Raw genomic sequence first — 27,654 nt, forward strand, 5'->3', positions numbered from 1 at the left:
ACTGAGGAACCGATTTATTCATCCGGGCCACTGCCTTGTCCCGGGGCAGCCCCAGCATGTCCTCCCAGCCCACAGTCAAGGCCACTTTCCAAAAGAACAGTTCAGCCGCAGCATGCAGAAGCCTCGAGGCCGCATGTGATGGGAGGGAGGCCACCCGGATCCCCCCTTGAAGAGCTGGAGCCCCCAGCTCAGGGAAGTTCCCATCACACATCCAGTCTGCCCAGCAAGCGCTTTACTGTCAATGCTTAAAAATAGGCACTTATCCAGAAGATATAAAGGACCCGGTCAAGCAAAGTGGCTCGCGCCTGTAATCCCAGCACTTTGGGAAGTCTAGGTGGGCGGATCGCTTGAGCTCAGAAGTTCAAGACCAGCCTGGGCAACATGGCAAGACCTCATCTCTACAAAAATACAAAAATTAGCCAGGTATGGTGGTGCACACCTGTGGTCCCAGTCACTCAGAAGGCTGAGGTGGGAGGATTGCTTGAGGGGAGAGGTGGAGTCTGCAATGAGCTGTTATTACACCACTGTTCTCCAGCCTGGGTGACAGAGTGAGACCCTGTTTCAAAAAAAAACAAAAACAAAGACAAAAAACTCTTACAACTCAAAAAGAAAAACAACCCAAATCAAATACGGGCAAAGAGCTTGAATAGACGTATCTTCAAAACAGGATATACAAATGGCCAATAAGCACATGAAAAGATGCTCAACTTCATTAATCATCAGGGAAAGGTGAATCAAAACCACCTACAAATACCATTTCACACCCACAGGGATGGCTATCAGTAAAAACAGACAAAAAACAGGAGATAACAAATGTTGCTGAGGATGTAGAGAAATTGGAATGCTTGTGTGTTGCTAGTGGCAATATAAAATGGTTTGGCTGCTGTGAAAACAGTTTGGCACTCCCTCAAAGAAATTAAACATAGAATTACCATATGACCCAGCAATTCCACTCTAAGGTATACAGTCATCCCTCAGAACTGTGAGGGATTGGTTCCAGGACACCCTCTGGATACCAAAGTCTGCAGAGGCTCAAATCTCTTTATATAAAATAGCAGCATTTGCAGATAACCTATGCACACCCTCCCATATACTTGAAATCATCTCTAGATCACTCATCATGCCGAATACAATGCCTACACATCACTGCATTCACGTGGATTCAACGGCCCCTGGCAGATTCACGTTTTGCCTTTTAGAACTCTGTGGATTTTTTTTCCAAATGCTTTCTGTTTGTGGTTGGTTGAATTCATGGATACGGAGCCCATGGATATGGAGGGCCAACTGTATACCCAAAGGAATTGAAACCTGGTACTCAAACACATACACGCACAGCCATGTTCAAAGCCGTACTTATTCACAATAGCCAAGAGGTGGGAACAGCCTGCATGGCCGTCAATGGATGAATGGATAAAGTGTGGGACAGCCATACAGCAGAATGTTACTTGGCCGTGAAAAGGAATGCAGTTCTTATACATGCAACAACACGGATGAACTCACAAATACGGCAGAAAGAAGGAAAGAAGCGAGACACAAACGTCACGTACTATATGACTCCATTTATATGAAACTGCCAGAATAGGCCCATCCACCAAGACACAATATAGATGAGTAGCTGCCAGGAACAGTGGCGATGGGGGGAACGGGAAACAGCTGCTTACTGGCACAAGGTTTCCTTCCGGGGTGATGAAACTGCTCTGGAACTAGAAGGAGACGGCAGTAGTACAACCCTGTGAATGTACTAAATGCCACTTTACTTACTGTTTGCTTTAAAATCGTTAATTTCATCTCGTGAATTTCACCTCCATTCTTAAAAAGGTTGGGGGGATGGGGGTGCGGCGGCACTTATTCACTGGTTGTGCCAGGAGGTTTTCTGATATTTGGACATACAACGGCTAGCCCCCTCTGGAATGAATCTGGTTCATCCATTTAGTATTCATTTAATAAATATTTAGCAAGTGCTACCTCCATGCTAGACGCCAGACGAGAACAAAAGCAGAGCCCTGGTCCTGAGCTTACTTTCGGGTGGTAGAGACACACAGACAAGTAAACACACATCCACATATGTGCTACAAAAAAGAAAGGAACAGTGAGTTAGAAAAAAGAATAAAGAAGAACCAAACTCAGATGACAGGCTTTGGTTAATTTTAGATGTCAACTTGACTGAATTAAGAAATACCTAGAGGACCTGGCACAGTGGCTCATGCCTATAATCCCAGCACTTTGGGAGGCCAAGGCGGGAGGATCGCTTGAGCCCAGGAGTTCGAGACCAGCCTGAGCAACATGACAAAACCCCATCTCTACCTCCCACCAAAAAAAAAAAAAGAAAGAAAGAATGAACGAATGAATAGCTGGGCATGGTGACATGCACCTGTGGTCCCAGCCACTCGGAAAGCTGAAGTGGGAGGATCACCTGAGCCCAAGGAGGTCAAGGCTGCAGTGAGCTGAGATTGTACCACTGCACTCCAGTCTAGGTGACAGAGCGAGACTCCACCACAAAGAAAAAAGAAAAAAAGAACCTAGAGACCCGGTAAGGCATTATTTCTGGGTGTGTCTATGAGGGTGTTTCCAGAGGACACTGGCATGTAAGTCGGGCCGAGGAGGGAAGACTCGCCCTCAGTGTGGACCAGCACCATCCAACTGGTTGGGTTGCAGATGGGACAAAAAACAGAGAAATGGCCATCTGTCTCTAAAGGGACAAAAAGTCAGGGAGGGCAATCTCTCCATCTGCCTCTCTCCCTCTGTGGCCTTAGGACTCTGGCCTCACACCCTCAGTACCAGGCTTTCGACCTCAGACTGACAATTACAGCAGGGTTTCTCTGCTGCGGAGGCGTCTGAGCTTGAGGGGAGCTGTGCTGCCGGCAACCCAGATCTCCAGCTTGCAGGTGGCCTGTCACGGGACTTCTCGGCCTCCACAATCACGTGAGCCTATTCCCCCAATAAGTTCCCTCTCGTATCTGGGTATCTATCTATCTGTCTCTCCTATTGATTTTGTCTGGAGAAAAAACCCCAACAAATACAACAACCAATGGGTCAAAGAAGAAATCACTGGGAGAATTAGAAGATACTTTTGAGATAATGAAAACAAAACACAATATATCGAAACATATGGAATACAGTGTACACAGTGCTCAGAGCGAAATGTACAGCTGTAAACACCTACATTCAAAAATAAGAGTGACATCAAATCAATGACTCCTTCTACACCCTAAGGAATTAGAAAAAGAACTAAACTCAAAGCTAACAGAAGGAAAAGAACAGAAATAAAATACGCAATAAAAGGCATAGAGTGAATCAATAAAATCAAGTTTTTTCTTTGAAGAGATCAACTAAATTGACAAACCTTTGGCTAGTATTTAAAAAAAAGAACATAAATAACCCACATCAGAAATAAAAGTGGGAACTACCAATCTTATAGAAATTAAAAGAATTATGAGAATACTATAGACAACTATATGCCAGCTAGATAATGTAAATAAGACATAACCTTAGAAGCAAATTACTAAAATTGAATCAAGAAGTAGGGCTGGGCATGGTGGCTCACGACTGTAATCCCAGCACTTTGGGAGACCGAAGTGGGCGGATCATGAAGTCAGGAGATCGAGACCATCCTGGCTAACATGGTGAAACCCTGTCTCTACTAAAAATACAAAAAAAAATTAGCCAGGTATGGTGGGCACACCCGTAGTCCCAGCTACTCGGGAGGCTGAAGCAAGAGAATGGCATGAACCCGGGAGGCAGAGCTTGCAGTGAGCCAAGATTGCGCCACTGCACTCCAGCCTGGGCGACAGAGCGAGACCCCATCTCAAAAAAAAAAAAAAAAAAAAAAAAAAAAAAGAAGTGGAGAATCTCAACACATTGATATCAAGAGACGGAATCAGAAATCAAATACTTCCCACAAAGAAAAGTCCAAGACCAGAGAGTTCACTGAACTCCATGGAACATTCAAAGAACAAACACCACTCCTGCTCAAACTCTACCAAAACTTAGAAGAGGAGGGAATACCTCCTAACTCACTTTATGAGGGCGGCATTACCCTGATACTAAAGCCAGACAAAGATACCACAAGAAAACCACACAGCAATGTTCCTTATGAATACAGACACAAAAATCCTTAACAAAATACTAGCAAACCCAATCCAACAGCACACTAAAAAGATTATATACCATAACCAAGAGGGATTTATCCCAGGAATGCAAGGCGGCAGGGGGTTCCTACATAAAAATCCATCAGCGTAATACAGCACATTAATAAAAGGAAGAAAAAATCTACATGATTTTCTCATTAGAGACAGATAAGAGCATGTGACAAAACTCAACACCTATTCATGATTTAGAAAAACGTCATTCAGCAAACTAGAAAAAGAAGGTGTGACACGGTAAGAAATATATATATTTGGTCTCTGCTCCTAGTCCTGGCACCGAGCTGCTAAAACACTTTCTGAGAGATGGTGGTGATAGAAGCCTGTTTTGTTTTAATATTGGGTCTTAGTCCTGGGTTCCTGACACAAAGGCCTCTAAGATCCTTGAAATCTTGGAAGTGATACGAGCATCTTTTCGTTCGTTCATGAGGTGTCTGCTGACTGAATGCCCCTAGATAGCTTCAGGATGGGGGCTGGTTGCCAGGGGAACCAATCATGTGATAGGTGGCTGGAATTTTCAGCCCCACCCCCTGACCTCTTAGGGAGGGCAAAGGGGCTGGAAATTTAGTTTAATCACCAATGGCCAATGGTTTAATCAATCATGCCCACACAATGGAGTCTCCATAAACACCTTACACAAAGGGGTTCCGAGAGCTTCCAGGCTGGCCCGTCTGAGGGCATGGAACGTCAGCACCCTTCCCACATAGCCTGCCCCATGCAGCAAGGTTTGGCCATTACTGAATCGCACTCTTTACAACAAACCAGTAATGGAAGTAAAATGTTTTCCTGAGTTCTGTGAGCCGTTATAGAGAACTGTTGAACATAAGGAGGGGCAACACCCGATTTATGGCCGGTTGAGTACAGGTGGCAGTCTGGGACTCGCGACTGGCATCTGAAGTGGGGGCTGTCCTGTGAAACTGGGCTCTTAACCTGGGAGCTTGCGCTAACTCCAGGTCGTGGATGACATCACTGAATTCAACTGCAGGACCCCCAAGTGGTGTCTGTGGAGAACTGGAGAACTGTAATGTCTGGGAAACCCACACAGTTGGTGTCAGAAATGTTGTGAGTGGAGAACAGGTTTTTCCTTCTTCTATAAGGGAATTTCCTTAACCTGATAAAGGGCATTTACAGAAAGTTCACAGCTGACATCACACTCAATGGAAAAAGGCTGGAAACTCTTCCCCTGAGATCAGGAACCACGCGGGATGCCCACCCTCTCCACTGCTATTCAACACTGTGCTGCATGTTCTAGCCAGGGCAGTAAAGCAAGGAAAAGACTTTGACGAAAGACATCCAAACTGGAACCTCTATTTGCAGATGACATGATTCCATATACAGAAAATCCCAAAGAAGCCACACACAAAAAAAAAAATCAACAAAAGAAAAAAAAAAAACAACACCCTACTAAAGCTAATAATAAATTCATTAAAGCTGCAGGGTACAAGATCAATACACAAAAATTGTTTGTGCTGTCCAGAGAGGAGGTCTACAGGAAAAACAAAAACAAAATCAGCTGTGCTTCTATACACCTGCAATGAAGAATCCAAAAAGGGAATTAGGAAAGAATTCCATTTACAATAGCATTCCAAAGAATAAAATACCTAGGAATAAGGCCAGGCACAGTGGCTCATGCCTGTAATCCCAGCACTTTGGGAGGCCGAGGTGGGCGGATCACTTGATATCAGGAGTTTGAGACCAGCCTGGCCAACATGGCAAAACCTCATCTCTACTAAAAATACAAAAATTAGCTGGGCGTGGTGGCACACGTCCGTAATTCCAGCTACTCGGGAGGCTGAGGCAGGAGAATCGCTTGAATCCAGGAGGCAGAGGTTGCAGTGAGCCAAGATCGTGCCACTGCACTCCAGCCTAGGTGATGGACAGACTCTGTCTCAAAACAAAACAAGGCAAAAAAACCTAGGAATAAATTTAAGCACACAGGTAAAAGACTTATGTATACTGAAAACTATAAAATATTGCTGAAAGAACCTAAAGACTTAATTAAGTGGAAAGACATTCCTTGTTCATGGACTGAAAACTTAATATTGTTAAGATGTTTCAAAAATGACTAGATACAATAGAATCCCTATCAAAATTCCAATATAATTTTTTGCAAAAATGGAAAAGTCAAACCTCAAGTTCATATGGAATCACAAGGGGCACAGAATAACCAAACTCATATGGAAGAGGGAAAAACAAAACACAGAGTTAGAGGACTCACACTTGCCAATTTCAAAACTTCCTACAAGGCTGGGCGCGCTGACTCACACCTGTAATTCCAGCATTTTCGGGGCCCAAGGCGAAAGGATCGCTTAAGGCCAGGAGTTCAAGACCAGCCTGGGCCAAGCACGGTGGCTCACACCTGTAATCCCAGCACTTTGGGAGGCCGAGGCAGGTAGATCACCTGAGGTCAGTTCGAGACCAGCCTGGCCAATGTGGTGAAACCCCATCTCTACTAAAAATGCAAAAAATTAGCCAGACACGGTGGCAGGCACCTGTAATCCCAGCTATTCAGGAGGCTGAGGCAGGAGAATCGCTTGAACCTGGGAGGCAGAGGTTGCGATGAGCCAGGATCGTGCCACTGCACTCCAGCCTGGACAAGAGCGAAACTCTGTCTCAAAAAGATAAATAAATAAATAAATAAATAAATAAATAAATAAAAAGACCAGCCTGGGCAACACAATGGGACCCCATCTCTACAAAAATAATAAAATTAGCTGGATGTGGTGGTGCAGGCCCGTGGTTCCAGCTACCTGGGAGGCTGAGGTGGGAGGACTGCCTGAGCCCAAGAGGTCAAAGCTACAGTGAGCCATGATTGCACCACTGCACTCCAGCCTGGGTGATAGAGCAAGACTCTGACAAAAAAAGAAAAAAAAGGCGGGGCACGGTGGCTCACGCCTGTAATCTCAGCACTTTGGGAGGCCGAGGTGGGTGGATCATGAGGTCAGGAGATCGAGACCATCCTGGCTAACACGGTGAAACCTGGTCTCTACTACAAATACAAAAAATTAGCCAGGCGTGGTGGCGGGCACCTGTAGTCCCAGCTACTCGGGAGGCTGAGGCAGGAGAATGGTGTGAACCCGGGAGGCGGAGCTTGCAGTGAGCCGAGATGGCGCCACTGCACTCTAGCCTGGGCGACAGAGCCAGACTCCGTCTCAAAATAAAATAAAATAAAATAAAAATAACCTTCCTATACAACTACAGTCATCAAAACAGTATGGCCAGCATAAGCACAGACACGTAGACCAATGAAATAGAATTCAGAGTCCAGTTTTAAACCCCAAATCTATGGCCAGCTGATTTTCAACAACGCTCTAACACCACTCGATGGCGAAAGAACAGTCTCTTCAGTGAACGGTGCTGGGACACCTGGAAAACCACATGCAAAAGAATACTGTTAGACCCCCACTTCACTTCATATATGAAAGTTCACTCGAAAATGGATCAACTCTCTACGTATAAGGACTACAACTATGAAACTGGTGTAAATAAACATGGGGCAAATCTTCATGACCTCATTTGGCAATGGAGTCACAGATTTGACACCAAAGGTGTGAGCGACAAGAGAAAACAGATAAATAGAATTTCATAAACATTTAAAACATTCATGCAACAAGGGACATTATCAGGGCTGGGTGCGGCAGCTCACGCCTGTGATCCCAGCTAGTTGGGAGGCTGGGGTGGGAGGACTGCTTGAGCCTAGGAAGTCAGGGTTACAGTGAACCAAGATCACACTACTGCACTCCAGCCTGGGCAACAGAGTGAGACCCTGCTCAAAAAGCAGACATTATGAAGAATGTAAAAAAAAAAAAAAACACCTAAAAAAGGGGAAAAGATATTTGAAATCACATACCCAAAATATTTAAAAAACTTCTATAACACAACAACAAAAACAAACAACCTAATTCAAAAATGGACAACGGGCTGGGCATGGTGGCTCACGCCTGTAATCCCAGCACTTTGGGAGGCCAAGACAGATGGATCACTTGAGATTGGGAGTTTGAGACCAGCCTCGCAAACATGGCGCAACCCCATCAGTACTAAAAATACAAAAATTAGCTGGGCGTGGCAGCGGGAGTCTATAATTCCAGCTACTCGGGAGGCTGAGGGAGGAAAATCACTTGAACCCAGGAGGCAGAGGTTGTAGTGAGCCGAGATGGCGCCACTGCACTCCAGCCTGGCCAAAAGAGTGAGACTCCATCTCGGAAAAAAACAAACAAAAATGGGCAATGGATATATCTAGACATTTCTCGAGAAAGAGATACGTGCAGCCAGCAAGCATGTGAAAAGACGTGAAACATCACGGGTCATCAAGGAAATGCAAATAAAAACCTCAACAGTTACCGCTCTATACCCTAGAGGATGGCTATAATTTTTAAGAAACAGAAAACAAGCATTGCTGAGGATCTGGAGAAACAGGAACCCTCACACATTGCTGGTGGACCTATGACAGGATACAGCCACTGGAAAACGGCTTAGCAGTTCCTCAGAAAGCTAAACAGAAAATTATTGTATGAGCCTGCAATTCCATTCCTAGGTGTATACACCCAGAGGAACTGAAAACGGGCACTCAAACAAGTACAAACACACACTCACACACGTTCACAGCAGCACTATTCCCCATAGCAAATGGGTAGAAACAGCCCAAACGTCTATCCACAGATGAATGGATAAACAGAAAATGGTATAGCTGTCCGTCATTCTGTGTAGATTCCATACTTTTGAATTTACCTCCTCACTGAAGTTCATTTGCAACCCCAAACTGATACTGTCAGCTTTCACAGTCATTTGCAGACATGCCCAGAACAGCAGAAAGGTTGAGCTGCCCAACACGCATGTTCCCAGCAGATGTCAAGCAAGGCAACGCTGTCGTCTTGCTTCGGAAAAACTTCTTCACAACACACATGTATTACTTTGCAATCAGATGAGGCCTTCCAAATTCTTTTTCCTTGAGAGAAAGGAGTGATTTTTCTGTAAAAGGACATCCTACCAACAGGTCAAACAAAATGCGGCCTCAGTTACGTTCTAATGCCTAACACTGCATAAAGCACAATTCCTTCATTATACAGGCGATGCCATATTCAAGGTCAAGTGCACTCGCTGAAAAACCCTCATGCTTATACAAGAATAGAGCTGTCGGAGAAAGCACCTTTTCTGCTCCGGTCTTAGAGCCACACTCGCCGGCGAAGCCAAACAACATCTTTTTCATCGCAGGACCCTCAACCTCCTTTGGGCCCTCTGAGGTCTGAGGCTCCCTTTCTCCACTGAACTTCCTTGCCCAGACTGACTGGAAGGAGCCGATACCATCTCAACAATGAAAGGATGAAATGCCTACTATGTGCCACGCGCCGGGCCAAGTGCTACACCTGCTGTCTCCCTCTTAATCTTCCTGATGCCTGAGAAGCAGACGCAGCCAGAAACCCCATCTTATGGATAGACAAACTGAGGCCCAGAGGAGTGTCCCACTCACGGTGACACAGCCAGGCTCTGAGATTGAACGCTGGCGTGTCCACCTCCAAACTGCGGTCTCCGCAGCTCTCTCCCTACCCAGTCTGGACACACCAGCGCCTCCCCAAACCCACCCCGTCACCAACCTCTGTTTACTCCTTATTCCACTTACCTGACCTCCCACCGAGGAGTAAGCCATGGCTAACCACCAAACGCGAGCCCTGGCTACACCAGGTAGAAAAACCACCAGCAAACCCATGCACTATGACCCTGTCCCTAATCGTGTTCCAAATCCTGCAGCCATGACACACTCCTATCCCTGGCACCAAAACTCATCAAGCACTGTCATTCTAGGTCATGCCTGTCTCAGGTATTTGGACAACTGGTGTGTGTTTACAAAGAGCTGGTTCCAATCCTAGCTCTGCCAACTTCTGAGGCTTGACCAAGTGACTCGGGATCCAGGATCTCCTCCACCTGTGGACAGCACACACACCACTGCCGCTGTGAGGAGGACCTGCATCCCTGGACCTTGCCGTGGGGCCACTGGTACTCCCGGTGTAGGACCCTCTACAACCACCCCAGGAAGAGAGGGTTCCCAGGCAATCGGGCACATGGTACACTGAAGCGGCTGGCCTCTGTCCTGAGAGAGAGGGAGCGCTGCGATTCTCAGCACAGGCTCATGGCAGAACTCCGGGCCCAGCTACGCGGCTTCTGCAGGAATTATTCAGACAAATAAACACCAAGAAACATGACTTAAAAAAAAAAAAAAAAAAAAACAGAAAAACTGGCCATCCTCCAAAAGGGCTCAATGAAAGCACATGCTGAGATTTGAAAAACCTGCTACATCTAAAATGGGAGAATTTTACTATATGTAAATTATACCTCGACAAACTAGACTTAAAGAAAACATCTTAACCCAACTATGTTACCATGGGTTGCTGGAAGTGCACATGCTCCTGCTGAAGGGCACCGAGGGAGCTGGCACCACGCTTGGGGCCTTCCAGAGGAACCAGGCAACAGGAGCTCTAGAGGAACATGGGGTCCCATGCCCCCCATGCAACTACATGCCCCCACACCCTAAATGAAGCCCCCAGGATCCCAAAAGAGCAGGCAGGGATTCAGAGAGGGCTCTCTGCCCTCTCGACACCCCCACACAGGGGAGGATGCTGGGCCCAGTAGTGACAATCCTATGGTCAAAGGGCCCCCGGCTCCCTTTATCTACAGGGCCAGGATGCAAGGGTGGAGCTTCAGGAAGTCAGGACAGAAACAGCCCTGGAGTCTGCATTTCAGACTCAGTTGAGTGCTGCAGGACACAGCAGGTAGGGGCACCTGAGTGGCAGCCACTTAGGGCCCCTGCTGCACTGGGTACAGTGGCACCACACAGTATGGGTTTCTGCCACACTTGGGAGCGGCTGGCCTGCATCTCGCCTGAAGTTGCCCCTACTAAGCAAGGATGACAAGCAGCAAACAGCACTGGCCAGGCCCTGCCCCACCTGCCTCCGAATCCACGGGCAGCCCACGGCGGAGCCAGGCAGCAGCCGGAGCCCCTTGCCTGAGGGCACTAGGAAGTAGAATGGATGCCACCAGTCCCCAGGTGGCTGAAGGCCGTGTCAGGGACCAGACAGGTGTCTGGGAACACAGAAAACCTCACTGAGCTTGGGCACAGTGGCAAGTGCCTGTAGTCCCAGCTACTTGGGAGGCTGAGGTGGGAGGATCGCTTGAGCCTGGTAGGTTGAGGATACAGTGAGCTATGATTGCACCACTGCGCTCCAGCCTGGGCAAAAGAGCAAGACCTTGTCTCTAAAAACAAAACAAAAAATGCCTTGCTGGCCCAAACTGCTTCTGAACCTCAGAGGACCTTAATCTAAGTCACCCCAGAGGCGAGTTTAAACTGCCCATACAGATGGTGGTCCCACAGCCCACCCGCTAGAATACCAGTGCCTGGGCTGTGGAGCACCTTTGCAGATGGGCTCGAGCAATCCCCTCAACCGCCCCAAGAGGGGGCTGCTGTTCTCATTCCCCTTCCATACGCTCACCGGATACAGCTGGGGAGACTGGGAGCCCGGGCACACACCTGGCAGAGGGGTGGCCCCATAGGCCCAAAGGCAGGGACCACTCACCCCTCAGGAGGCCCACTTGCAGGCAGGTTCGGCTCTTCTCCCAGCGGGGCCTCAATTCCAACAAAGCCTCAGAATGACCTAGGTTTCTGTGAACTGGACCCCGCGCGAGGCCTTGCATCTGAAATCGGCCAAGCTGCACCGGCTGAAACGTCACCCGGCTCCTAGGACGGCCGCACGCCAAATGCCTCTCCTCAAGGCCCTTCGTGCCAGAGGGTTTGTGGAAAAGTGGAATGGCAGCCACGCAGCCCGGCACCGCCAGGTACAAACCGGGGACTCAGTAACCAAGCGGGGCGGCATCCACAGGCCTCCCAGGGACACCTCCTTCCCCAGCGTTGCCTCCATGCCGGGCCAGCTGCACTTGTGGGAAAGCAGCCGGCCATGGACAAGCCACAAGCCAGGAAATGTCACCGCTGGCCCTGTGGTGACACCTGGGAGGAGGAGCAGGGGCAGGCTCTGAGTTGTTTTAATCATTAGGCCAAAAAAAAAAAAAAAAAGTGAAAAACTACAGATGAAAGAAAAGAAAAGAAAACCCCCTGGACTCCCACCACCCAGATGACCCGCGCCAACATTCTGGATAGAGATAACTCCTTTTTCCTTCAAGTATTATATATGTAGCTTGCTTCGTTAATTCTGAAGGTCATCAAAGATTCTGCCCAGAAGACGCATCGTAATCGGACTGTAATCAGATATTTATGCTATTTCCTGATCTCAGTCACTACACACGGCCCGGTTATTAACCCTCTAGGACCGTCGAGGAAGCTGGCCCTGACAGGGGATGTCACTGCTGGCACATTTTCTAGGCAACTGGACAGGAGGTGGCCCAGCAGCTCCCCTAGAGAAGCAGACCAAGGGACACGCCCACCTGCTGTCATGAAACCAGCCGTGTCCTGGCCCCCGACGTCCCCAGGAATGGAGATGGTGACCAGCACCCCCCGCAGCACTCACTGGAATGTCTGTGCATGGGCAGCGGCCAGTTCTCTGGCCTGTTTTGTGAACTGCCGTGGCACCCGGAGCAGGGGTCCCCACAGAGAGGCATCCTGCTTGCTCCCCTCAGGGATCCTACCTTGTTTTTGAAGTGCACCTCGATGGGCATGATGAAGCCAGCGTACCCCGACTCCTCTACTTTGTAGGGGGGCTCCTTGCACACTAAAAAGAAAAGGAAGAAACACACCCATCAGCCTCCTGCCTGTTTCAGGCCCAGCTGCCAGCGGCAGTACCGCACCCCTCAACCCCACCACCTCCTCACAGGGGCTTGGCTGGCCTCTCGGGGGTGGCTTTTCAGGAGGTTAAGCCCCCGACAGGATTGACTTCCACGGCAAAGTTATCTTAGGAATAAAACAGCAGGGAAGAAGAGGAGAAAGGAGACTTGGCCACCGGCATGGTCAGCAGAGAGTGAGAAGGAACGTTAGCCTGTCATCGGGATACTTGCTCCTGCAGAGGATGAGGAGGCTGAGGCCAGAGAAGGCTGCACAAGTTTGCCCGACTCAGGTGGATGTCGGTAAGCGTGACCTGGGTGAGGTGTGAAACCCAGCAGGGAGGGCCACACACTCTACTGTCACCACCTCCAGCACGGGGGCTGAGCACCTGCTGCACCACGGACACATGCACTGGGAGACAGGGGAGCCCCAGGTGGCTGGGACCCTCCTCCTGGGTTCTAGTTTAGCACCTAATAAGAGCATTCCCAAGTGACGCAAACAAAACCCCATTGACCCCAGAGATTAAAAAAGAAAAAAAAAAGGCCGGACACGGTGGCTCACACCTGTAATCCCAGCACTTTGGGAGGCCAAGGCAGGCGGATCACTTCAAGTCAGGAGTTCGAGACCAGCCTGGCCAACATGATGAAACTCCGTCTCTAATAAAAACACAAAAATTAGCTGGGCGTGGTGGCACACACCTGTAATCCCAGCTACTCAGGAAGCTGAAGCAGGAGAATCGCTTGAACCCCAGAGGCAGAGGTTGCAGTAAGCGGAGATTGTGCCACTGCACTCCAGCCTGGGTAACAGAGCGAGACTCCATTTAAAAAATTAATAAATAAACAAAGTGCAGCATGAGGCCAGGCACCTGAATACTTAATCTGAACCTGGGGAGGAAAGCGGAGGCAGAACAGAGGAAGGGTGGCCTGTCCCCAGCAGAGGAGGCACGGGCATGGGCAGTGGCCTGGGATTTGCTCTCAGACTCCACCCATGCCTCGTCTTCTCCCCACTCGCCCATAGTCTGAATCCCACCCAGCCACAAAGGCCCACAGCAGGGCCACCTCCTTCGAGAAACAGACCCCATGTCCCTCTGCCTCTGACCTCCAGGTCACGTGCTTCCCAAATCGACTGTCACATCTTATCTCATGGTCCCCACGCCTTCAAGAAGGAATCCTGTCCTGTGACGGGTACTCCAAGCCTGAAGAACTTCTATCCCCCCAGACAGCGCCAAGAGGGATGGCAGTTGGCCGAGTGCTTCAATTCAACCAGGGGAGAACAGGGAGACGCACCGGCCCACTCTCCTGCCTGAGAGCCCACAGGAAGCAAGAGGACAGGAATAAGGCCGTGAGAGTGAAGGCAGGAGGGAGGAGATTCAAGCCACCTGCCAGTTTCTGAAAGGCAGAAGTCGGACGAGGACACGATGGGCAAGGGGCAGGACAAGGAGGCGACGGCTCAGAGTCTGCCATGGGGGCGCCGCAGGGCAGGGACAGCCACTGGTGCCAGAAGGCTGAAGGTCCTGGACTGGCTGAGCGGAGGGCAGGAGTGAGGATGAAAGCTGGGGGAGGGAAAGGGAGCACGGTGGGGGAGGAGGGTGGGAGCAGGGGAGCGACTGCCACTGCGGGGCCTGAGCTTCTCCCTGGGGTGACAGCAATGTTCTGGAATTAGACAGCAGTGATGGAATCAGTGGTCATGGCCGCACAACTATGTGAATATACTGAAAACGCTAACTGTACACATTACAAGAGTGAATTTTATGATGTGTAAATTACATCTCCATAAAGCGGTTATTAAAAAAAAACAAAAGGGCAAACTGAAAGGCTGTGTTGGGCACAGGAGCCCTGGGATCCCTCCCTCCTGCCCATCCTCCTTCCCGCCCATTCCCCCTCCACCCCTCCCCACCCCAGGAAGTTTCAGGTTTCCCTCTGGAGAAATTGAGATGGTTCTGTGTCTCAAGGAGCCAACTATCAGGGGGAAGCTGAAACTTGCAGCGTGGAAACCAGACCCCGAGGAAGGCCTTACTCATTAGGAAATCAGGAGGCCCGTGAGCCTTCAGGCCTGTGGATAGGCAGAACCCACCCTCCCATCACATAACGCTCAGGAGCTCCCACCAGGAGGAAAGAGCCCGAGCAAACAAATAATTTGGAGACCACAGAGAGTTTGACAAAAAGAAAGAAAAAAAATAAAAACCAAGAGTCAATGTCCTCAGATTCAAGGAGATATATATCCAACAAATAAAAATAAGATACTTCTAAAAGGGGAAATTACAGCCAGGCACCACAGCTCACACCTGTAATCCTAGGCACTCTGGGAGGCCGAGGTGGGAGGATCACTTGACACCAGGAGTTCAAGGCCAACCTGGATGACATTCTCTACTAAAAATACAAAAAATTAGCCAGGCGTGGTGGTGCGCACCTGTAATCCCAGCTACTTGGGAGGCTGAGGCACGAGAATCACTTGCACCCAGGCGGTGGAGGTTGCAGTGAGCCAAGATAGTGCCACTGCCCTCCAGCCTAGGTGACTGAGCGAAACTCTGTTAAAAAAAAAAAAAAAAAAAAATGAGGATCCCAGAAAGAAAAAAAGAGAGGAAATAAACAGATGGAAGGAAACTGTCAAATAAATAGAAGGAAACTTTCAGAGCTAAAATGAAAGACACTCAAATGTCACAAAACATAGTGAACAGCAAAAAAAAAACAAAAAAACAAAAAAACAAAAAAAAACATGATGTCATAAAGCAAGCGTCCTAAAAACATAAAAACATCCTAAATGTTTCCACAGAAAAAAACAGGTCACATATAATGGGATGAGGACCGAATGGCATCAGACTTTCCAGAAGATACTAACACAACGCCTTCATAGCACTAAGTGATATATACTCCCAAAATGTTTGGGAGCAGGAGTGTTGTGAATTTGGGATTTTTCAGACTTTGGAATATTCGCATTCCTCTGGTTCAGCATCCCAAAAATCCAAAATCTAAAATGCTCCAGTGAGCATTTTCTGAGCATCATGTCAGCACTCAAAAAGTTTTGGATCGGCTGGGTGCAGTGGCTCCCGCCTGTAATCCCAGTACTTTGGGAGGCTGAGGAAGGCGAATCACCTGAAGTCAGGAGTTCAAGACCAGCCTGACCAACATGGAGAAACCCCATCTCTAATAAAAATACAAAATTAGCAAGGTGAGGTGGTGCACGCCTGTAATCCCAGCTACTCGGGAGGCTGAGGCAGGGGAATAGCTTGAACCTGGGAGGCGGAGGTTGCAGTGAGCCAAGATCGCGCCATTGCACTCCAGCCTGGGCAACAAGAGTGAAACTCTGTTTCAACAACAACAACAAAAGTTTTGGATCTTGGCCAGGTGCAATGGCTCATGCCTGTAATCTCAGCACTTTGGGAGGCTGCAGCAGGCGGATCACGAGGTTAACAGATTGAGGCCATCCTGACCAACATGGTGAAACCCTGTCTCTACTAAAAATACAAAAATTAGCCAAGGGTGGTGGTGGGGGCTTGTAGTCCTAGCTACTCAGGAGGCTGAGGCAGGAGAATCGCTTGAACCCGGGAGGCGGAGGTTGCAGTGAGCCGAGAACGCGCCACTGCACTCCAGCCTGGGCGACAGAGTGAGACTCTGTTTCAAAAAAAGTTTTGGATCTTAAGCCGGGCATGGTGGCTCACGCCGGTAATCCCAGCATTTTGGGAGGCCAAGGCGGGAAGATTTTAAGCCCAAGAGTTCAAGACCAACTTGGGCAACATGGTGAAATCCCGTCTCTGCAAAAAATAAAAAAGTTAGCTGGGTATGGTGGCGGGCCAGTAGTCTCAGCTACTTGGGAGGCTGAGGCAGGAGGACTGCTTCAGCCCAAAGGTCAAGGCTGCAGTAAGCTGTGATCACAACACTGCACTCCAGTCTGGGTGGCAGAATGAGATTCTGTCTCCAAAAAAAAAAAAAAAAAAAAAGTTTTGGATTTCGGATTTTCAGCTTAGGGATTCTTGACCTGTAATTCCCAAACCACAAAACTACACCCAACCAACCATTCTACTGTGAGAAGAGAATAATGGCATTTTCAAACATGCTAGGACTCAAAGGGTTTACTGCCCACGTCTTATAAATTTTTTTTGTTTGTTTGTTTTTTTGAGACAGAGTTTCTCTCTGTCACCCAGGCTGGAGTGCAGTGGTACGACCTCAGCTCACTGCAACCTCTGCCTCCCAGGTTCAAGCGATTTTCCTGCCTCGGCCTCCCGAGTAGCTGGGATTACAGGCATCCTCACTGCCCCTGGCTAACTTTTTGTAATTTTAGTAGAGATGGGGTTTCACCATGTTGGCCAGACTGGTCTTGAACTCCTGATCTCAGGTGATCCGCCTGCCTCAGCCTCCCAAAGTTCTGGGATTACAGGCATGAGCCACTGCGCCCAGCCAGAAATGTCTGAAGTAATCTCTTGGAATATTACTTGAGACACTGCTCTACCAAAACAAGAAAATAAACCAAAACACAGGCCGATAAACAAACCTCAGGAGAACAGGAGAGAAAAGGCCCAGGGTAGTGGCTAAAGGGGTGGCTGGATAAGAGTCCGTTGTGATTAGAGAAGGAAGGCACAGAGAACCAGCATGAAACACTCAGAGGACTTTACAAACAAGCCAGAAAGCCAGGTAAGGCGGCTGACACCTGTAAACTCAGCTACTCCTGAAGCAGAGGCGGGAGGACTGCTTGAGCCCAAGGAGTTGGAGTTCAGTCTGGGCAACACAGCGACACCCCCATCTCTAAAAGAATTTTTTTTTTTGAGACATAGTTTCGCTCTGTCGCCCAGGCCGGAGTGCACTGGCATGATCTCGGCTCACTGCAACCTCTGCATCCTGGGTTCAAGCGATTCTCCTGCCTCAGCTTCCCGAGTAGCTGGGACTAAAGGCATGCGCCACCACAGCCGGCTAATTTTTTTGTATTTTTAGTAGAGACCGAGTTTCAGCATATTGGCCAGGCTGGTCTTGAATTCTTGACCTCAGGTGATCCACCCGTCTCGGCCTCCCAAAGTGCTGGCATGAACCACCGCACCCGGCCAAAAAATTAAAAAAAAAAAAAAATTCCACAGAATAAATGAAATGACTGAGAGAATGGGGGGAAAATGAAGGTATGCTAAAGACACAATGCAAAAAGGAGAAGTAAGGGGGTATTCCAAAAGCCACAGACCAAATGTGAAGCAAGCTAAAATAGGGCCAAATTTTAACCAAAAATGACCAAAAAGAACCCGTTTCACACAGACCTGACTTTGAGCCTTCTCTCTGGAGTGGCCCAGAGTTCAGGACATGGGAAACAGAAGCTGAATGAAGTCCTGCCGTCCCAACCAGCCTGATGGTGACAGCGTCAAACATGTCAACGCCGCCTACTGCTAGTTCCCAACTCTTACAGTCAATCTATAATCGGGGAGCGAAGGTCTTGGTCTTCGTCAATAAGCTTAACAACGTCCATTGTAGCCTCAAAAAGAGGGGTGCAGCAGGGTCAAAAAGAGACAGGGTACTGGTGGCCTTGCCCTCCTCAGTGGAGAGTCAGAAAACACTAACAAAAGCTGACCAGGTGCAAGGGTCCATCCAGTCATCAAACACTTAGTAAGCACCTACTGTATCCCTGCAGGCACCGAACATGTAGCAGCAAACAAAACTGACAGAAACCTCTGACTTGGGGTGGGGAGAGGGATGGACAAGATGAAGAAGTCATATGTACGAGATGTTAAGATGGTGCTAAGGAGAAAACCAAAGCAGAAAACAAAAAGGCTAAGAAGCATATGGCTGTGTGGGTGTATTGGGCAACGAAACCGCGATTGAGCCCAGGCAGCCAGAGGACTCCCTAAAAAGGGTGACGTGGGACTCTTCTGTGAAGGATCCCAAAGGTAAACAGGCTCACATCATCATTCAAAGTCACAAAGACAACCAACGCAAAAGCGAGTCACTGGACTATTAAAAACTTAGAGAAGACAGTGGATAAAAGGGGTACTTTGGGATAAATTCTAACCCTTCAAGCTGGTAAATCAGTAAGTATTGTCTACATTTAAAAAATCAAGAAATAAGAAGCAAATGAGCTGGTATTAAGAGGAGTCCAGAGAGGGCTAGGAAGACAGCCCCGGGGAGGGAGGACTAAGGAGGCCAGGAACAGCAACTTTGTACCTTACATGTTTCTACCCTATTTGATTTGTGATAATGTAAGCTGGGGCGGAAGTAAAAGATACTTTTTAAGTACCTCAAGTATCAATCCAGAGGCTGGAGTGCTCTAAGAGGTTCACTCCCTCTCTAAAGTTTTATTCAATGCCACAGAGTGTGAGCTGGAAATTTACTTTCTGATACATTTGATGGGGCCGCTATCTGCCTCCAGGCCCCACAGACAGACAGCAACAAACAGGGCTCAGCTACTAATTTAAAGGCCGCCTGCAAACTGACACTGAAGCCTGGCATGGTGGCACATGCCTGCCAGGAGCTCAAGACAAGCCTGGGCAACACGACAAACAAAAAACAAAACAAAACAAAAAACTAAAAACTAACCCTTAAGAGTGAGCCCCACTCACTACCCCACCTTCCAGGTACTTGGAGAAGGTGCCATGTCAACGTGGTGGGGAACAAAGGTGAAATCAACAGCCTCAAAGTGGATGGAAATCAGCGTCCGGGGCCCATCCCTGTGCTCCAGGGACAGAGAAAAGGGGAGGGGTGAGGGGGTTGGTGAAGAAGTGGAGTGGATGCCACCAGAGAAAGGAAAGAGGGCCTGGTGCAGGAGGGGCAGCCAGGCTCCTGCTCTGCCAACGTGGCACAAAAGCAGCCACAGGCAACACCTATGCGGGCGGGCATGGCCGTGCACCAATAAAAACAGGCTGCACTGGCAGTGGCCAGACCCAGCCCACAGGCCAGCCTGCCCACCCTGCTCTAAGCACAGGTAGCGGCCTGCCCCCTGGACCCGTCTCCCCGTCTGCAGAAGAGGGCTGTGGCGAGAAGAAAACGCGATCCTGCGCACGAAGCGCTGGCCAGGAAGTGCTCGATAGATGGCATGTGTCCCCACGATTAGGAAGCGGTTTATAAACATCTGCCGCTGTCAGGAGCCTCCGCGGCCATCCTCTAAGAGGCTTAGAGAGGGAGGAAGGAAAAGGGGAAAAGGTGAAGACTCAGGAAAGGAGAAATGCAGAGGGAAAGAGAAGCCGCAGGCTGAGGGAATCGCAGGTGGGCATCCCTTCAGAATGACAAGCCTCTACTGCTGTCAACGCCCATCACTTCCCCACTAGGCTGCAAACCACTTACAGGCTCAGGGCCAGGGTCCTGGGTCCCGGGTCCCGGGAAGCTCTTGCTTCAACCTAAGCACACCCACGCTTGTGCACGGCTCACCTCCCGTGGCCCCTGGAGCTCCCGGGACCCCCGTATTGCAGGGTAGAGGGGTCACCAGCCCAGCCAGGGCTCTTCCCACCCTGAAGTGCTTCCTACAGAAAGTCCCTCATTCCTTTATCAAGACATCACCCAAGAAGCATTTATCGAACCCCTGTGATGTGCCGGGCTCCGGGCTTCACACTGGCGACTCAGCGGTAAGAAAAGTAGACGCGGCCCCAGCCCTGATGGCGCTCACCAGACCACCACCTCACTCTCCGATTCCCCACCACAGCCTTTCCCTAGGGCTCACTTCCCCAGGAGGGCATCCCTGATCATAAACTGGGTGACTTCCTGCCTGTGCCCCGTCACACTGCACCCTCCAGGAAGGCCAGGGCCCCCACGCCACAGGTGGAGACGCTGACAGAATACACGACTGAGGCACTCGTGCTGAATCAATGACGGCCTGAGGCTTGAAGGGAGAGGGAAGACACGGAAAAGACAGTGGTGACATGAGCTCCGGCATTCTTTCTGCCCCAAATATTGGGAATTCTTCACATGGCACACAAACAAACATAGGCCCGGTCGGCAACTTCCTGATCACTCACCAGCCGGCTGACTTCACCTGTCCCACCCATGCCAACCTGGCTGTGCTCCCTGGCTGCTTCCCAGAGCCCGGGTCTAAATCACGACACAACAGACCGCCACCACCTCCTTCGGTTCTTCCTACGACTAACTCAACAGCTGGAGGTGACACGGCTCCAGTGCCCCCACGCCGAGGGACGCAAGCTGGAACCTCATGGTTGGAGGGGTCCTGCTGCTCCTGAGGGAGGGGTGGAGCCTGGCCTTGGGAGGAGTGAAGACAGATGGGTCCGTGCTGTGGGCACTCAGGGCTTGAGGCCACTCACCGCGTCTGGGCTTGGGGAAGCTGTCGTGCAGCCAGAAGACCACCTTCTCCACGAAGTGCTGGATGTCACATTGCTCGGGGCCGCGGACAAACACCATCCAGTCGTGAGTGAACCCCTCCGTGGTGGGCTTCTTGCGCAGTTGGGCGCGATGCCCCAGCTCTAACCTCACCTGGACGGTGCACTGGAGGAGAGAGAGGTGGGGAGATGAAGTCAGCACACGCCTCCAAGCAGGGGACTGTCCCCTTACCCACAGAGAACTTTCGATAAAGACCCCCAGCAGTGCAATACGCTCTCAACCCAGTGAGCAGCACACAGACGGCTTCCTATCGCGCCAGCACCTTGCCGCAGACGTCCCGTGCCTTCTCCCCTCCGTACTCCCACACAGACCCCGTGTCTCCTCTCATCCACCGCCTCATCCTCAATTCCACCCGCACAGCCTCCTCACCGGTCCCCAGCTCAGCCCAGCTCACTCCTGCCTCGGGGCCACCACACTGGCCTAGGATCCTCTGCTCCTGAGACTTCCCACACTGGCGCCTCTTGTCACTGGGCTCTCAGCTTGACTGTCCCTCTGCAGGGAAGCCTCCCCTGACCACCGATCCAAAAGCATCCACCACCGCTCCCATCACTCTATCATAGAGGATGCTCTTCCGAGCACTTTCACTATCAAAAGTCATCTTGCTGATGGCTGTCGGTGTCTCTGCCACCTAAGCTTGTTGACTCCAGCATTTTCATTCCCAAGCACGCATCACAGCGCCTCCCGGAGGCCCCTCTCCTTTCCCTAAGTCATCAGCTACAACACTGGCTTTCAGTTTCAAAAGCAGAATGGGAGGTTCCCAAGAAGAAGGCAGAGGCCAGCCTGCGGCCCCCTGGTGACCGGTCCCAGGTGGACCCGTGGCCTGGGCAGCCCAGCTCCCTCCGCTGAGCACATGTCGTGTCTGACACTTTGCTCTGAAATACAAGGCAGCTCAGGCCAGTTCCATGCCACTGAACACAAAGTTGCATGCCTTCAAAGCACTCTTCATACCTAGGTTGGCCAAAACCACCAACAGGGAACCTACAGTAAATATCCACCCTGCTTTGTAAAAACCTCCCCAGACTTTTCACAGATACGGCCCTGACACCCGCTATCAAATACAAGAATGTTACAAAATAAAGCAGCAGCCAAGCGCACACTTGCTTCTAAGTGCTGAGATAGCCGGGAGCCAGCCAGACCATGGCCTGAGTCCCACACCCTCCCCTGACAGAGCCGCCCTCCCGGGCCCCAGACCAGACAGCTCCCATCTGCGCCTTTCCACGCCATCGCTCGGCAACTGGCCAGGTGTGTCCCAGTGGCTGCAATCCCTCCAGTACCTGTCTCTTCTTTGGCATTTCGAGGCCCCGTTCAGACCCCGCCACCTGGCTGAGTGCCCCGGCGCCTGGCCGGCTTCCCTCCCTCTCCGTCCCCCTCTGAGCTCTCAGTTGTCACGCGATGGAGCCGCTGGGGCAGGCAGATCCTATCGCCCCCACCCCCGCCCGCCATGTTAAAGCTTTCCACGGCTTGTCACTCCCTCAGAAGGAAGCCCGAGCCCCGCGCACGTCTTCCACGCGTGTATTTCCTCAAGTCTGAGACGCTCGTCTCTTTTCATGTCCTAACCCTTTTGAAGTCAGAGTCCAGCCTGCACACAGGCGCACACGTGCACACACAGACACAGAAGCTGCTCCTGAGTTGGTGGCGCTGTCCTGGTATCTCAGAGTCCCAGAACTGAGGAAATGCAGGAAACGCGCACATTCCAGCTCAATCCTACAGCCAGCCCCAGACACACCAGGAACAGCCACCCTATCTCTCTTCATCTCTTCTAGTGCCGCAGCCTGGGTGCCCTAAGCTCGTTTCAAAACCCTACTCATCTCAAGTCCTGGCTCACACGCTGCCCTGTCCAGGGCCCTTTCTGGTAGCCACGCTGGAGACCAACCTTGAGTCCCCACAGAAGCCTGTGGACAGCTCCACGGGAGCCCCTTCATCCCATCCCCCGCTCCTGGGTTGCTGACGCAGCCCCCAGGGCCCCTGTGAACTCTCTGAGAGCAGGGACTACATCTTGTTCGTCCTCTTAGCCTCTATCTTGAAACCACGGGACAGGAGGCCTGGACGATGCTGGATTAATTAAACCAGAGAGCCTCTCAGGTCAGGGAGTTCTAAATGCTGCTTTTGGAGACGGCAGGGCCATGGTGGCAGATAAGGACAGGCCAGTTCCAGCATGTGGAAGAACTGGCCAGAGAGGCTGAGGGTCTGTGCGCACAGCAAGCCAGGTATAAGAAATGAGGCGGAGGCGTGCAATTTCTATTTGGCAACTTAAAAAGTAAACTGAAACATGTACATGATACAGATGTACAATTTTTATTTGTCAACTAAAAATTAATTTTTAAAAGGAAAGGGGGCAGAGGGGATTCCCTTGGCTCAGGACGACTGTCCCTCTGGAGTTCCCTGGGAAAAGAGGGCAGGGACTCCCTAGGGACCAGGCACACTGCAGGGGGTGCCTGGGATCAGGCCGGAGACAAAAGAAATAACCCGTCGTCATAAGTGGCTGACAGATATGGGAAACGGTCTCGGAGTCAAAAGCCCCCGGCCCTCTGTGTAAGGCCTGGGGTGCAGGCAGAAAAGGGCGAATGGCAAACTAACAGCAACCCCAGCCCATGAGGAGGCAACCAGAAGGAGTGGCTGGAAAAAGGGGTGAACACAGCCCAAAGCCACAGAACTGACAGGACCCGAGGGTGGAGGACATTCAGGTAACCCCAAGATCCGGGCAGCAGGGACATTCACGACCCCAGTGTGGGAAGAAAGTGGGGATGGACGGAAGATCAGGCGCACTCATAAACCCCCGGCGCTGCGGATTCATGAGGATCTCAGGTAAAAGTACCCCCACCAAACACACGAGGTGAGGGCTGAGCACCGGCATGGCAATACTCAGGCCAAGCACGAGTGTCTGCCTGAACACCACCGCATTCCAACAAACCCAAAACAACACTGACATTAGCCCCGAGCGGCCATGACCACCCTCTATGCTTACACGCCTGCGCCTCTGCCTTTTTCGCTAGAAAACAGGAAGGCAACCCCTGTCCCGCTGGGAGCATTACAGGTGAAAACTAAATGTACATATACATCATGGGAACAGCACCAGGATGCGGGAGAACGACCCCTGCTTCTGTGGAGCTGACTCCCACACAATGACAGTGTCTCCTCGGAATCGCTTATTCACTGACCCGGCCACTCAGACCTCGGCCGACTTCCCGGCATTTCTGATGACAGGGAGTTCCTACCCAGGGCACGCAGGCGGCAGAGCAGTTATTGTGAAAGAGTGAAAGACCGCGGTTCCACTGGAGAGGGGGAGGATGGAAGCACCAGAACTCCACCGCAGTGGCCAAAGTAAACAGGAAGGTTCCGAGGCAGCGATGGGTAATCTTTGCAGCCGGCAGGCCGGGCCCAAAGTGCTGCCCAGGCGACACTGATGCCCTGGGGGCTGGCGCCAACTTGAGCCTCAACACCCACTGTTAAGGACACACCCCAGACTTGGCCAACAGATGCGAAGTTCGGGTGCCCGGCCTGCTGCACCCAGGGGACTGTGGAGCGCTGAGGGGGGCACTCCCCGGAAGGGTGGAATAACAGAGTCTCTGCTGTTGTAGTAAAAAAGGAATCACAGATTCAGTAAGACGCTCAAGCCACGTCAACGGGAGGCAAGAAGTGGAGCCCCGGCCAACGCGTTTGACTTGTCAGGTCATGATAATTTATTAGCACAGCTAAGCCAATTCCATAGCCAAGGGTAACCACCCCCCTTCCCCCACACCACCTGGACTCTTTCCTTGGCCATTAGGACCAAAGAATTGAAGCTAATCAATTAGCTGTCTCTCTAGGAAGGGTGCCTGGCTGCAGAGGTTAAGTGACAGGCTCTCCAGAATGTCTTAGAGTGAATAATCTGATTGGTCAGTGGCTCTCCCCCAACTTTATCCCAGCAAGTTCCTTCAAGGCACCAGGAATGCCTGCTGCTGGGAGGCCACTTTTTTGGAACCTCTGGAATAGACGGCTGGAAATGAGCCGGGGGGCTGTGGTCTCAGGGATTTCCACTTCCCTGCACCTCTGGGACCACCCTGACACCCACTCCCCAACAAAAGCCCAGGATAAAGGGGAACCTTCCAGGACTGTCCCGGAAAGAGCTGTCCGTCTCACTTCTGGGAAACCATCTGAAAGACAGCGGACGGAGGGATGGGCACGAGCGCTCCAAGGGCCATCTGGGGACAGTTAGGCTTGGGCAGAGGGCCTCAGCTGGGACACTGCCCTCTCTCCAGGCCAGCTGGCAGAGGGCACTTGGAACCAAAGGGCCAAAATCCCAAATCAGGCAAACCAGGCAGCCTCTCGAGGGCAGCTTCCCCGGGGCTTTCTCAACGCAGCGTGCGGTTCTCCCCAGGTGTGGGCTACAGCGGCCGCCGCCTGGCAAAGAGCCGCGAGCCAGCCTTGTTCCAACAGCTTCACACAATTCCTTCAGCCAATGTACCCCACTTCCTGCAAGCCCTGAAGGCAGGTCTTCAACAACCAGTTCATCTGAAGATTTCCCCTGGTCTTCTGGTGGGAATTCTCAATAGATGCCCTTCCTCTGGGAACTTGGACTTCGCCCAGTGGTGGAATTACACCTGGAGTTCGGCTACTGCATCTAATTCCCTCGGAGGCAACGATCCCCTCCCATCCCAGGAGAGGAGAACACTGAGGAGTCGTTTCCCCCTTCAGCCTAAATTGATTTTGAGGTCCTCCTGGGCTGAACACGTGCACGTGTGTGAGCCACACATGCACAAACAGGAAGAGGTGACGAGGCTTGGGCGATCCCATGGAGCGACGGCAACATGAGACCCAATAAAACCCCCTGCGGAATCTTCTCCCGCCAAGCCCAGTCGGGGCCCTCAGTGGTAACCACTGAATTAGAATGTAAGAGATGGGGAAAGACAGGTGCCCCTCTGTGACAGTCCTCTGAAGCGGAGAGCTGCCCACCCAGAAGGCAGGGGCCTCTCACTAACAGGTACACCGGGTCCTGGTCCCCTGACTGCTGGCACACTGGGGCTAGGGGCCAGCACCTCCACCCCTCTTCTGGCTCCATCTGTCCTCGTCCCTCTGACCCAAGGCACAATGACAAAGCGATGAGAAGGCACTCAATGAATTTCTCTCTGGAAACTCTCTAAGAGTGGTGTGTAGACCACCTGGAAATGCAAGTTCCCCTTTATAGGGTCTGCAGATTCCTGGTAAGACTGACTCTCTGACCACATTGTCAGGGGAGGCCTGGGACAGAGTATTTACGAACCAGGGGCCCACAGACGTGTAGACAGTGTACCGGCTATCTCCCACGTTCTCCAGGGGGGAGGGGGAGGAGCCTTGGTGGACTTTTTGAATGTGCACAACCCCAATACAGGCATCTGTCACCAGACCAGGTGGGCCTGGCTGCAAAGGGACTGATTCCTAGTTACTTGTATTTAACCAGCAGCTGGCAAAGCTGAGTGCAAAACCTCCCATTACGAACCACAACGGGCATAAAGGGAAATGGGACTCTGGTCCCTGCCCTCAACTGCTTCACAATATAATCACTTTAGGACAAAAAAACTGGCAGGTCAGCTTTCCAGGGAGTAGCTTCAGAGCTGGGAGCAGGTGAGGAATCTGTCACACCTCAGCCAGCAACCTGGGTAATTCGGAGCTTTTCGGGCAGGTTTGGGGAGCAGCCGAGTTGCAGGAGGAAGAGTCTACCCACCCTTGCCTGCTGGTAGGACTTCTGAGCCTGCATTTCCACATCTGTGAAATGGGCCCCTGGCATCAGAAACAAACTTTCCCCGCTGAAGAACATCGTTGTGAGGCAGCTGCTCTCAAACCCAAACCTAGGAGAGCATCTGCAGGACCAGCAAGCAGCAATTCGAGCGTGGGGGTGCTCCCTGGTCCTTTTGAAGAACGTGACCGCCCAGATGCTGACACCACCTCCCAGCTCCCTAGGCAGCCCCAGTCCCCGTGACCTGCTCTCAGGCCCTTTCCCAATCTCTTTTCGGCATCTGCTCAGCCTTATCCTTGTCACGTCCCAGTCCCCTCCCCCCGGCCCCAGCCCAGGAAACAAACCACACTCCTTCCAGACATAACCCTTAAGTGAGCAGGGAACTCGCTCATCCCCCTGCCAAAAAAAATACAAATACCACAGACAACACCAGCACAGACTTGGGGCGGAGGGGGAATCAAACATGCGGGTTACGGTTGGGGCAAAGAGAACCAGAAAGGCATTTTCCTGGCCATAAGGAAAAGATGTCAATGCTGAGAAGCTGGGAGCCCAGAGCACAGTGGGAAATCCTGCTTCTTAGGGGGGTCTGAAAGTCCTAGAGAGTAAAAGAGGAAGGCAAAAAGAGAATCAAAGCCTCCCAAAGCCAGCGACTGGGCGGAAAGCTGTGCTGTTTCCCACTATAATGAGGCACTAACATTTTGTGGCATCTGGGGGGCTAGTGGGAGCGGAAGCCCGGGTTCTGCTCGATTCAAAGCATTTTCCCTG

The 27,654-nt window shown here is 51.0% G+C and overlaps 1 protein-coding gene across 6 annotated transcripts in view, besides 4 other annotated features; it reads right to left on the reverse strand.

Annotated features, from left to right (window-relative positions):
* MLLT1 (MLLT1 super elongation complex subunit) overlaps window positions 1-27,654 on the reverse strand; it is a 69,595-nt gene that overhangs the window by 39,077 nt on the left and 2,864 nt on the right. For 2 of the 6 annotated variants that reach the window (XM_011528023.1, XM_011528021.1), the window contains exons 1-3: window positions 22,755-22,904; window positions 21,122-21,302; window positions 12,771-12,853 (exon numbers count right to left, since the gene is read on the reverse strand). In XM_011528023.1, the coding sequence (XP_011526325.1) occupies window positions 12,771-12,853; window positions 21,122-21,302; window positions 22,755-22,889 (399 nt within the window). In that variant the 5' untranslated portion in view covers window positions 22,890-22,904. Of the gene's footprint in view, window positions 1-12,770; window positions 12,854-21,121; window positions 21,303-21,566; window positions 22,307-22,471; window positions 22,565-22,754; window positions 22,905-27,654 lie in introns of those variants that run through there. The other 4 variants (XM_047438846.1, NM_005934.4, XM_011528022.2 and 1 more) reach the window with 3 other exon arrangements.
* Window positions 13,575-14,076: an enhancer, noted in NCBI's record as "H3K4me1 hESC enhancer chr19:6263043-6263544 (GRCh37/hg19 assembly coordinates)". NCBI's record gives its function as "activates a minimal SCP1, AML or CMV promoter by ChIP-STARR-seq in naive H9 embryonic stem cells {active_cell/tissue: H9 hESC(naive)}" and the evidence as "EXISTENCE:reporter gene assay evidence [ECO:0000049][PMID:30033119]".
* Window positions 14,077-14,576: an enhancer, noted in NCBI's record as "H3K4me1 hESC enhancer chr19:6263545-6264044 (GRCh37/hg19 assembly coordinates)". NCBI's record gives its function as "activates a minimal SCP1, AML or CMV promoter by ChIP-STARR-seq in naive H9 embryonic stem cells {active_cell/tissue: H9 hESC(naive)}" and the evidence as "EXISTENCE:reporter gene assay evidence [ECO:0000049][PMID:30033119]".
* Window positions 23,639-24,238: an enhancer, noted in NCBI's record as "H3K27ac-H3K4me1 hESC enhancer chr19:6273107-6273706 (GRCh37/hg19 assembly coordinates)". NCBI's record gives its function as "activates a minimal SCP1, AML or CMV promoter by ChIP-STARR-seq in naive H9 embryonic stem cells {active_cell/tissue: H9 hESC(naive)}" and the evidence as "EXISTENCE:reporter gene assay evidence [ECO:0000049][PMID:30033119]".
* Window positions 27,137-27,637: an enhancer, noted in NCBI's record as "H3K4me1 hESC enhancer chr19:6276605-6277105 (GRCh37/hg19 assembly coordinates)". NCBI's record gives its function as "activates a minimal SCP1, AML or CMV promoter by ChIP-STARR-seq in primed H9 embryonic stem cells {active_cell/tissue: H9 hESC(primed)}" and the evidence as "EXISTENCE:reporter gene assay evidence [ECO:0000049][PMID:30033119]".

Source organism: Homo sapiens, chromosome 19, assembly GCF_000001405.40.
Source record: "Homo sapiens chromosome 19, GRCh38.p14 Primary Assembly".
In the NCBI taxonomy this organism is placed as follows: domain Eukaryota; kingdom Metazoa; phylum Chordata; class Mammalia; order Primates; family Hominidae; genus Homo; species Homo sapiens.